Raw genomic sequence first — 13,256 nt, forward strand, 5'->3', positions numbered from 1 at the left:
TCACTCACACATTAGCAGACCTAGTTTCAGATGTTACCCATTGTGACCAAGGTCATAAGGAAGTCTATGCGCTTGAAACTATCATCAAGAGAGGAAAGGAAAATATAATCAAAGGAAGGCTAGCAAATCCCAACTTTCATACTCCAAATATGCAAATAAACTCTTTAGCAGATAATGTGAATAAAAATCAATAACTATTCACTCTATTTTCTGTTCCTAAAATATTAAAATTAACCTAATTTTAAATATATATTTTTTAGAGATTTATTATGTGTTTATTTATTTTCATTTTTACATACAATATGACCATCTTCCAAACCAGGAAGAGAGCCCTTACCAGACACCAGATCTGCCAGCACCGTGATCTTGGACCACCAGCCTCCAGAACTATGAAAACTAAAGTTTGTCATTAAGTCACCCAGTCAATAGCGTTCTGTTACAGCAGCCCGAACTAAGACAGGACATGAAGAGAAAATTCTGAAATATTTGAAACCAAGACATTTCAGACATAAGATAAGCTACTAAAGTTCCCTTAAACTGTGTCTATTCCTTTGTGATGTCATGTTGCTTAAGACGATAACAGGATGACAGCTAAAAATAAAACCATGAACATCCCCCATCCAACTATAATAGTAACTTAATTTTCTTTTTTTTCTTTTTTTCTTTTGAGATGGAGTCTCACTCCATCCCTCAGGCTGGAATGCAGTGGTGCGATTTCAGTTTACTGCAACCTCTGCCTTCCGGGTTCAAGTGATTCTCCTGCCTCAGCCTCCCAAGTAGCTGGGACTACGGGAGCATGCCACCACGCCTGGCTGATTTTTGTATTTTTGGTAGAGATGGAGTTTCACCATGTTGGCCAGGCTGGTCTCGAACTCCTGACCTCAGGTGATCCACCCGCCTTGGCCTCCCAAAGTGCTAGGATTACAGGCATGAACCACCGCTCCTGGCCCCACTTTCTTAAGTATTAGATATATCTAGTAAATTTACAAGTTATTTATTATATACTTAATCATACACAATCTTGGAAAATGGATATTAAAAATGTTAAAGGCGGAGCCCAGTGGCTCATGCCTGTAATCCCAGCACTTTGGGAGGCCAAGGTGGGCGGATCGCTTAAGCCCAGGCGTTCAAGACCAATCTGGGTAACATGGCAAAACCCTGTCTTTACAAAAAAATACAGAAACTTAGCCAGCCATGCTGGCATGCACCTGTGGTCCCAGCTACTCAGGAGGCTGAGGTGGGAGGATCACTTGAGCCTGAGAGGTCAAGGCTGCAGAGAGCTGAGATCACACCACTGCACTCCAGCCTGGGTGACAGAGTGAGACCTTGTCTCAAAAAAAACCTATAATTCCACCATCCTAGGAGTAACATAATTTCTAGTCTATAACAGAGTACTATAGATACAATTTAGTAATCCTATTTTCCTTGCTTATTATAGTGTATTTTATGCTTCCACAAGGTCCTCAAATCACTGTGTTCAGTGGCTGCCTGGTGTGTGTTGTACAGCTACTCTCTGCTTTTCACTAGAACAGAGAAAGAGTTTTCATGAATACAGCCTTTTCCCTATAGGAGAAAGATAATCTTTATGATTTCTCTTTCCCCTCTATTTTAGATTATTCCATCAAGATACCAGCACAAAGAAGATAAAACTTTTCAAGTTTCTTAAAATTGCCAAATCTTCTCCTGAAAGAGTAAATCTTATCTCTCGTCAACAGTAGTCATTGGACTTACCAGATAAAAAAGAAGCACTAAGTAGAGGCTGCAATACAAGAGTCCGTTAGCCAATAATGCTTTTTTAAAAATGTGACTCAAATTCACAATTTTTGTGGATTGGAATTTTGTTAAAATGTCCATATAATCCAAAGCAATCTGCAGACTCAATACAATCCCCATCAAAATCCCTCAGGCATTTTTTTTTAAAATAGAAAAACAAATCCTAAAATTTATCTGGAACCACAACATATCCCAATATTGTGGAATAAAACAAAGCTGGAAGCATCGTACTTTCTACAAAATGTAATACCAAGATGTGGTAATTAAGACACTGTGATACTGGCATAAAGATAGACACGTAGGCCGGGCGTGGTGGCTCATGCCTGTAATCCTAGCACTTCGGGAGGCTGAGGCGGGCAGATCACCCAAGGTCAGGAGTTCGAGACCAGCCTGATTAATATGGTGAAACCCCGTCTCTACTAAATATACAAAAAATTAGCTGGGTGTGGTGGCATGAACCTGTAGTCCCAGCTACTCAGGAGGCTGACACAGGAGAATTGCTTAAATCCAGGAGGCAGAGGTTGCAGTGAGCTGAGATTGTGCCACTGCACTCCAGCCTGGACAGCAGAGCAAGACTTCATCTCAAAAAAAAAAAAAAAGATAGACACATAGACCAATGGAACAGAATAGAGAGCCCAGAAATAAGCCCACACATCTGTGGTCAACTGATCTTCAACAAGAGTGCCATGAATACACAACGGGAAAATGACAAGTCTCTTCCACAGACAGTATTGGGAAAACCAAATATCCAGATGTAAAAGAATGAAAATGGACTCATGCCACACATGAAAATCAGCTCAAACTGTTTTAAACATTTAAATGTAAGACCCGAAACTGTAAAACTCCTGGAAGAAAACACAGGACGAAAGCTTCTTGACATGGGTCTTAGCAATGATTTCTTGGATGTGATACCAAAATCACAGGGAACAAAAGCAAAAATAGACACGTGGGATTACATCAAACTAAAATATTTCTGCACAGCAAAGGAAACAATCAACAAAATAAAAAGGCAACCCACAGAATGGGGAATATATTTGCAAACCATCTATGTGATAAGGGGTTAATATCCAAAATATATAAAGAACTCCTAAAACTCAATCGCAAAAATAAATTAATGGGAAAAGGATTTAAATAGCCACTTCCCCAAAGAAGACATATGCATGGCCAACAGGTATATGAAAACGTGTTCAACATAACTAATCATCAGGCAAATGCAAATCAAAACCACAATGAGATATCACTTCACACCTGTTAGGATGGCTATTGTAAAAAAGACAAAAGACAAGTGTTGTCAAGGATGCAGAGAAAAGGGAACCCTCACACACTCTTGGGAATGTAAAATGGGGCAGCTACTATTTAAAAAGTCGGTGGTTCCTCAGAAAATTAAAAATAGAACTACCATATGATCCTGTAATCCCATTTCTGGGTATATAAACAAAAGAACTGAAATCAGGATGTTGAAGAGATCTCCACACTTCTGTGTTCGCTGAAGCATTATTCACAAAAGCCAAGATATGGAAACAACATAAATGTCCATCATTGAATGAATGGGCAAAGCCGATGTGGTATATACATACAATGGGAAATTACTCAGCTTTTTAAAAGAAGGAAATCCTGCCAGATGTGACGACATGGGCAAACCTGGAGGACATTATGTTTAGTGAAATAAGCCAGTCACAGAAGGACAAATACTCTGTGATTCCACTTACATGGGGGTATTTAAAAGATTATCACAGAAGCAGAGGGTAGAAAAGTGGTTGCTGGAGACTGGGGAGAGAGGGAAATGGAGAATCGTCGTTTAGTGGGTATAACATTTCAGTTATGTATTTTATTTAAAACAAAACATTTATTAGGTTTTTAATTTGGAGAGATTAAAAAGGAAAAATAAGCAAAACTGGCTCTTCATTTACATGCTCAGATTACTGTTGTCAACATGTTTTAATGAAAGCAATAGATGTACTCAGAAAATGGAACTGCATAGGAAACAAGGCCACATAAAAAGTAAAAACCTCCATATTCTTCAATCTTTCTCCCTGAAACTATTTACAGCTCAAATTTTAGTTTAAAATATAAAATCTATCATTCCTGTGAGGCAAAGGGGAGAACTTGAAGCTCACAGAAGAATATAAAGCAAAGGGCTTCTTGCCTACATTTTAGAAAATAATATGTCTTTAGATAAGATATTATTATCCCATAGTATAGAAAATTGTGGCCAGGCACAGTGGGTCATGCCTATAATCCCAGCACTTTGGGAGGCCAAGGTGGGAAGATTGCTTCAGACCAGGAGTTCGAGACCAGCCTGGGCAATATAGTGAGACCCTGTCTACATAAAATTTTAAAAAAATTAGCTGGAAGTGGTGGTGCCAGCCTGCAGGCCAGGGGAGGCTGAGGCAAGAGGATCCCTTGAGCCTGGGAGGTCAAGGCTATAGTGAGCTATGGTCAAGCCACTGCACTCCAGTCTCTCACAACAAAGCAAGACCCTCTCTCAAAAAAAGAAGAAAAGAAAGAGAGAGGAAAAAAATGGAGAGAGAAAAAATGGAAAAAGAGAGAGAGAGGAAAAAAAGTAAAGAGCTAGAGACAATTCTTTCAAGATATGTTGCTATTAAGGAGAGCAGAGATACGGGGTAATAGTGGGGGTTTGGGGAAGTTTGGGATTTGGGTTTTTGTTTGTGGGAAATAATACAGCATATTTGGTGTTAATGGGAATGTCCAAATGAAGGAAGGAAGTCAAGGATAGAGGAGAAAGAAGGAGGCAGGAATAATGTCCTAGAGGCGGTGAGAAGGAATGAGCATAAGCTGATCATTATCTAACAAGAGACAGAGTCAAGTCTGAGGGACCAATGGCAAGGAGGTTGGTAGGTTTTGTGGGGAAATTGGGAGATGTTCTCTCATAATCAATTCTATTTTCTCAATTGGACTAAAGCTCATCAGCTGAGAGGGAGGACCAGGGGAAGGTGTCATCAGGAAAGGACAGAAGATGTGAAATGGTCACCTCTGAGTACAGAAGAGTTGATTGACTAGAGAAATGATATAAGTCTACCAGAGGTATTGAGGGCTCCTGGAGGTTGATAGCCTCTGGTTAGTATGAAACTGTCTTCGTGCTTTTCTCCAGACACATTCAGCTGCTCAGGAGCAGGGGCAGAGCAGGCCAGAGGTAGTTTTCATCAGAGTTTGCCAGGAGAGTACTGGGCAGGAGCAAAGAATTTGAGATTTATGCAAAGCAGTGATTATAGCACTGCTAATCTTGGTGAGAAGGTAAGTAAGGAAATGGTGTGGGGTGGAGAGGGGTGATAGATTTAAATAAAACAAGTGAGCTACATCTGAATGCTTGTCATAGGACAAAAATCAGAAAACTCTGCAAAGGTGCTGAGATGAAACTTGGTTTTAGTTCCTCCTTGGGCACTTTCCACATGTCCTTTGGTGGCCTCCACTCCATGTAGGCATTAACCCTGATCCAGTATCAACTAATACACAGCAAGACACTCACAGACAAAGCCCAAGGGTCATTATGGGGTTTTTTGTCTCGTTTTAATTTTTTTAGAGACATGCTCTTACTGTGTCTCCCAGGCTGGCATGCAGTGATGAGACCATAGCCCACTGCAGCCTCTAACTTTCAGGCTCAGGTGACCCTCCCACCTCAGCCTCCTGAGCAGCTGGGACACCTTCCCCTGGTCCTCCCTCTCAGCTGATGAGCTTTAGTCCAATTGAGAAAACAGAATTGATTATGAGAGAACATCTCCCACTTTCCCCACAAAACCTACCAACCTCCTTGCCATTGGTCCCTCAGACTTGACTCTGTCTCTTGTTAGGTAGTGATCAGCTTATGCTCATTCCTTCTCACCGCCTCTAGGACATTATTCCTGCCTCCTTCTGAGCGGGCATGCCCCACCACACCTGGCTCTCATCTGTGTTTTCATCAGACACTTTCTTTTTGATGAATAAAACCTTCCAGACACAAAGATCTCAAATCTCTCAAAATGAAATTTTAAATCATTAACAGGCACTAAAGACCAAATTTTGGGCAAAACACCTACCACATATTAACATGTGTATTAAACGAATGAACCTATGAAGATGACAGTACCTGGGCTGGTGAGTCCCAATGGACATGCGTGATGGGAACATCTGTGCATCCTCAGCGGAAATTTTCAGAGATGCAAAATAAACTTGAACTTGGATGCGTATCCTTGCATTGGTTGTGGGGTGAAAATGCTGAGAAAAAGCAGCTAACATTTACACGTAGCCACCACCCCCCAAACTTTTTCTCCTCAGGCACTCATACATGTTTTGTAATCTTTGAGAATACAGAAAATATTTACAAAATGATCAAGCATGTAGTTAATGGACCAGGTGACAAGCTGGGTCAACATCAAAGAAAGGGCAGAGGAATAGGATGTCCATGAGTTAATGTGTGTACGTCTCCTAGAGCTAAGATCTCCCACCCAGAGTTCACACCTACATCCCCCTACATCCTCTGAATCTATTCTAGAGCCATGTTTGCCAGAGAAGTTTCAATGAGTAGCACTGGAATAGGAAAGATTTGTACTGCTGTTTCCCTTGGGGTCTGGGCTCCAGCTAGCTTCCGCAGTAAACGACTAGTTATGATCAAAGAGTGAGGAAACCTGCTCCCTGGCCTTCTGCACCTGGGAAGGAAGAAGGGCCTCCTGTGAGGGAGGAATTGCCCAGAAGTGCCCACCAGGAGGAGTGCATGGTGCACCACCCACACAGTGCACACATGGACCCAGCCTGCCTGCCAAATGTGTTGTGGGGATGTTGCACGGCTGGAGCCAGCCAGCGAGAGGCTCAGGAGAGTCAGGCAATGACATCCAGAGGGAATCCGGTCCTTACTTTGCACAGAAACAGAAGAGAGTGGGAACTCAACAGCATTAAGGATTTATAGCTGATAGGCATAGTAACAAGACTGAAAGAATCTATTCCAAAATGTAAACGACTGTTATCTTGACGTAGGGGGAATACCAGTGATGGCTACTATCTTATTTTTGCTTATCTGGGTTTTCTTTTTTTTTAATAAAAAAATTTTTTTTAGAGACAGAGTCTTGCTCTATCGTGCAGGCCAGGGTACAGTGGCGTGATCATAGCTCACTGCAGTGTTGAACTCCAGGACTAAAACAATCCTCCTGGCTCAAGCCACCATGCCTGGCCAATTTTATTATTTTTTAATTTTTGTAAACACAGGTTACAGCTATGCTACCCAGGCTGATCTCAAACTCCTGGCCTCAAATGATCCTCCCTTCTGGGCCTCCCAAAGCGCTGGAATTACAAGCATGGATTACTAGTGGGCTTTCTACAGTGAATATGTATTATTTTTTTAAAGGGATTGTAGGGGGGAGTAGGAAGTATTATTTAAATATTTCCAACTTCATGCACCAAAGAACATTAGCTTTTAATCTTCACACAATTCTCTAAGGTGGGGAAGCCCACATGACCATTCTTAGTTTGCAAACAAAGAAACTGAGGCCCCAGATGTACATTATTCTGCAGTGGGTGAGAGTTATCCCAAGTGGGTTGATGTCTAGGCAAGCCCCTTTAATATTTCCCTCCCCACCAGCTGGTGCAGCCACACACTGCTTGAAGCCTCTTCCACTCTCTAGCTGAAAGTTGCCGCTCATTACAAACGGATATTTGACTGGAGGGGGTCTGAGACTCAGGATCTATGCCCCAGTCAGCAAGAAGCAGCAGGATGACTTGATCTCTCCCTGCTATGGCCTCTCTTTGAAGAGAAGTATCTTAGTGACTACAGGAGGTTATCTAGTTTGTCCAGGGTTGCATGGCTAGCAGGTGGCACAGCTATCATGTAAATTTGATATTCTGACTGCAGACACATCACACTCCACCACATTGTTTTGAATGAATCTTTGCTATTTTACCATGCCACTTAACCATGAGTAAAACCCCCTTCAGTAAAATAGTCAAGAACCATTGGCTCTTGACCTGCACCGGCCAATGAGTGTCAGAAGCTCTGGGGCTAGGACAACCACAATGAATGTGGGAGATTGGTTGCATCCTAAAGAATGAATCAAGTACATTGAGGATAATGGCAGCCAGCTTTCTCATTGTTGAAGGGAGGTACAAATATGCAGAAGGGAAGACTGGAATAAATTATGTGATGTTGGACTGTCATTGGAGGGCAATAATTGTGAATGCAGCATTTCCAAAATGTGTAGATATGGATAATATATACATGGGTGTACACGTGTGTATATAGTTGTCCTCACTCAGAGGGTCTGGGATCAATGACACTCTTGTAGCACTGACCACCTTTAATGCCTAATATTGGTTTCTAAACACCATTCTCAACTAAAAGATAAGAGCACTCCTTGAGGGGATGGCTGACTCCATGGCTAGGGCAGGGAAAATGCAAGCTAAGCTTGGAATTTCTCGTGGCAGGAAGTTGTTCAAGAATGATGAGGACTGTGAAAAGTCACAGATGTCAGTTTGAAAGGCTGTCACTGGCCAAATCTGGGTCAGTTTGATCTTCAAAGTAAAGAATGCTAGTAATTATGCTGAACTATAATTTATTCAATAAAATAGGAATCTATGACTTCCTACTAATTTAAATAAATAATAAGGGAATGCTGTGCCTTATAGTAGAATGCCAACTAATAATTGTAGAAGGAATGGCAGCATTATATAATTAACCAACCATCTTAATAATTGGTTCCAGTAAGAAGCATCTGTGGATGCCAAAATCAAAGAATGGAGGTTTAATAAACAACCAGATATTTATACAGTCTGAAACTATCTCCCCACAAAACACTTATTAACATCTTAGTGGATACTTATCAACTCTTACCAATACTTAATACTTGTTAAAATCCCTTCACAAAATACTTATTAACTTTTCTGTGGAAGAAACCTGACAGACATCATCTTAACCAAATGATAAAGGTTAACATTACCAGTAATAGGTTAAATGAACATCGTGTGCTGCTTTTATTATTATTATTATTATTTTTTGAGACAGAGTTTTGCTCTTTCGCCCAGGCTGGAGTAAAGTGGCCACGATCTCGGCTCACTGTAACCTCCACCTTCCGGTTTGAAGTGATTCTCCTGCCTCAGCCCCCGAGTAGCTGGGATTACAGGCGCACGCACCACCACGCCCAGCTAATTTTTGTATTTTTAGTAGAGACTGGGTTTCATCATGTTGGCCAGGCTGGTCTCGAACTCCTGACCTCGTGATCCGCCTGCCTTGGCCTCCCAAAGTGCTGGGATTACAGGCATGAGATACCACGCCTGGCCCATCGTGTGCCTTTTGATAATATGCTCTGGGAAGGACACACCATCGTTTCTGTGATAGTCCTGCAATACCCCTGAATCTAATCATGACAAAATGTCAGACAACCTCACATTGAGGACATTCTTCAAAGTAACTGACCTGTGCTTCAAAAATGTCAAAGCCACCAAAGACAAACTGAATAACTTTTCCAGATTGGTGATGCCTAAAGACACATGCTAACTGCATGCAATGCATGACCCTGGATTGGATCTTGGACCTCAAAGACCATTATTAGGATAATCAGTGAAATTTGGCTGGGGGTGGTGGCTCACACCTGTAATTCTAGCACTTTGAGAGGCCGAGGTGGGAGGATCACTTGAGCCCAGGAATTTAAGACCAGCCTAGGCAACACAGTGAGACTCCATCGCTATGAAAATAAAAATAAAAATTTTAATTAAATTTTTTTTAATTAGTGAAATTTGAGTAGGCATCCATGGATTAGGAGATAGTATTGTATCAATGTTAATTTCCTGATTTTGATAGGTGTCTGGTGGCTTTGCAGGGAGTGTCCTTATTTTAAGAAAATACACACTGAGGTGTTTAGAGTTAATGGAGTATCAGGTTTTTTTTGCAACATTGTCTCAAATGGTTGAGGAAAGAAAATGTATACATAGAAAAAGAGCTTGGAAATTAAGAGGGAATGATAATGATTGGTGAATCTGGCGGAGGGTATACAGGACTTCTATGTACTGTTCTTGAAATTGTAAATATTGTGTAAGTTTAAAATGATTTTAAATAAAAGTTACTCAAGGCTGGGTGCGGTGGCTCACGCCTGTAATCCCAGAGCTTCGGGAGGCCAAGGTGGGAGGATTGCTTGCATCCAGGAGTTCCAGACCAGACTGGGCAACATAACGAGAGCCCATCTCTACCAAAAATAAAAAATTAGCCAGGCATGGTGGCATGCCCCTGTAGTACCAGCTACGCAGGAGTTTAAGATGTGAGGATCACTTGAGCCCAGGAGGTTGAGGCTGCAGTGAGCCATGATCATGACACTGCACTCAGCCTGGGTGACAGAGCGAGACTGTCTCAAAAAAAAAAAAAAGTATATGTATGTGTATATATATGTATATATAAAAATCATCATTTCTTGGCCTTTTGGACAAGGTCAAGTGTAGTAAAAATATTAAATCATTAATTCATCATTCTTAGAGGTGTAAAAAAAATCCATTAACTGCAATGATTAGTAAAAGCACTTAAGTGGCCTTTTGTTTTTTCAATATGGTGTTTACTCATGAAGGCCTACATTTAATTAAGGCATTAAATAGGCTTTTAACCAAAGCACATCCATAGATAACCATTGATTTTTCCAAGCAATGTACTGCCCATTTATTCTCCCTCCAGAAGAGAGATATATAACTTAGGGTGTGTACCAATAAGTATAGGTTAGAGGAAAATAAGTGATACTACTGTGCAAACAGGAAAAGAAAATCAATGCTTATGTTTTCTAACCATTTAAACAAGTGAAAAAGAACCCTTCAAAATAGAATAGATTATTACATTCTCATGTATTATATTTGTGCCTAATAGAAAAAGGAAGATAGATGGGAAAATGACTAATAGTCAAACTAGTTTTAAAAAAAAAGTACAACTTGGCTGGGTGCAGTGGCTCATGCCTGTAATCCCAGCACTTTGGGAGGCCGAGGTGGCTTGATCACCTGTCAGGAGTTCAAGATCAGGCTGGCCAACATGGTGAAAACCCATCTCTAGTAAAAATACAAAAATTAGCTGGGTGTGGCGGCAGGTGCCTGTAATCTCAGCAACTCAGGAGGCTGAGATGGGAGAATTGCTTGAACCCAGGAGGCAGAGGTTGTCAGGAGTTGAGATCGTGCCATTGCATTCCAGCCTGGACAAGAGTGAAACTCTGTCTAAAAATAAAAAAATAAAAAAATAAAACAACTCACAAAATGCTTTACTTTAGGTTACTGAGTTGCAAGCGTTTTAATAGGCAGTCTAGAGACATATCCTGATGAGTCAATATCTCAGGTGTTTCCAGAGAACTGATTTATGTGCCTGCAATAAAAAGGTCCATGAAGACATTCATTACTCTTTGTGTTGCTGGACAAACAGTTGACCTAAATTGTCCTGGATCTCACATGATGTAATGACATCGTGGAGATGTGAAAAATTAAAGGATGCTCAGAAATACTAAGTCACCCCAGATAAAAGAGATACCCCTCCACTGATCACAGCTGCCACATATTATGTTCACCTCTTAATATTTTGGGGGTACAAGTAGCTTTGTGTTACATGGGTGAACTGGATAGTGGTGAAGTCTGGGATTTTAGTGTACCATCATCTGAATAGTGTACATTGTACCCAATAAGTGATTTTTTCCATCCCTCTCCAACCCTTTCCTGTGAGTCTCCAATGTCCACTATACCACTCTGTATGCCCCTGGATACCCACACCTTAGCTCCCACTTATAAGGGAGAACATGAGGTATTTGGTTTTTCCTTGCTGAGTTACTTCACTGAGACTAAGGGCCTCTGGCTCCATCCAAGTTGCTGCGAAAGACATTATTTTGTTCTCTTTATGGCTGCAGTTATATTCTTGTGCGTGTGTGTGTGTGCACGTGCGTGCGTGTGTGTATATGCATATATATCTCATTTTATGTATTCACTCATTAGTTGGTGGACACTCAGGTTGATTCTGTATCTTTGCAATTGTTCATTGTTCTGTGATAAACATCTGAATGCAAGTGTCTTTTTAACGTAATGACTTCTTTTCCTTTGGGTGTCTACCCAGTAGTGGGATGCTGGATTAAATTCTTTGAGAAATCTCCATACTGTCTTCCATATAGGTTTTGCTAATTTACGTTCCCCTCAACAGTGTATAAGTGTTCCCTTTTCACCACATATATACCAACATGTATTGTTTTTTGACTTTTTGATAATGGCCATTCTGGCTGGGGTAAGGTAGTATTTCATTGTGGTTTTAACTTACTATATTTACTATTTATTTAATTCCAATCTCCTTAGGTCATTTATATTTTACTGTTTCTTGCAATCCCTTTAAGAACTCAAAGGTGTGAAGTGTGATGGTGTCTGCTTCCCAAAGATCACTTTAAAGTCCTAGCTCCAAATCACCCAAGTGTCACCCCTGAATTTCTCAGTCTACAAGTTACAAAAATTCAACTCAGGAGACCTGAATTGATTTGCTGGCCTCGGTGGACATATTGCTAAAAATGTCACCTCTGCCTCACTTCATCAGCTATGAGATGAGCCAATGCTCATCTTTGCCTTCATGTAGAATGCTGAGAGAATCAATGGGGTCTGTAAAAGAAAAGTACCATTCAGATTCAGCTCATATTACTGAGGTGTCTGCTCCATGCTAGGTACTCTGTTACATATGTTACTTACATTTTTCCATTTAATCCTCACAATAACCTTATTAGGTAGGCATCATTAACTGCATTCTAAGATGAAACACCAAGGGCCAGGAAAGTTGAAGAACTCCACCTCAGTTAGCACAACTACCCACAGGCAAACCTAGAATTCGAATTCCAATTCAGTCCTCTTTCCACCTTATTATTTCCACTTCCATCTTTGTATGTTCAGAATATTATTACAGTAACAAGATTTTCCAATAGAATGAACCTTTAGGGGCTGGGCGCGGTGGCTCACACCTGTAAACGCAGCACTTTGGGAGGCCGAGGTGGCAGATCACTTGAGGTCAGGAGTTCAAGACTAGCCTGGCCAACATGGCAAAACTGTCTCTACTAAAAATACAAAAATTAGCCAGGTGTGGTGGTACGTGCCTGTAATCCAAGTTACTTGGGTGGCTGAGGCAGGAGAATCACTTGAACCCACGAGGCAGAGGTTGCAGTGAGCCAAGATCACACCACTGCACTCCAGCCTGGGTGACAGAGTGAGACCCTGTCTCAGAACAAAAAAAAAAATGAACCTTCAGGAAATTACCAACAAACTCGTAGAGCAAGCAGACTACAGAGGTCATGTTCAAAGTCTGGGTCTGAACCAGACTTTTGAGCACTTACTGCCCAAGGTCAAGGTGCTGTGACACTACAAACTTTCAGGAGAGGCAAAAACATGTAAATATCTGGCAAGGAAATAAGTCCGGATTTCTGTAAGCAACAAGGAATCTCCTATTCATTTAGGATTGCAGAAGAATGGAGATTTATAAGCAAATATTTAGCTGACAGGAGTAGACGTTTAGAAGTGAGGGGAAC

This window comes from Homo sapiens, chromosome 10 (assembly GCF_000001405.40).
Source record: "Homo sapiens chromosome 10, GRCh38.p14 Primary Assembly".
Classification (NCBI taxonomy): Eukaryota; Metazoa; Chordata; class Mammalia; order Primates; family Hominidae; genus Homo; species Homo sapiens.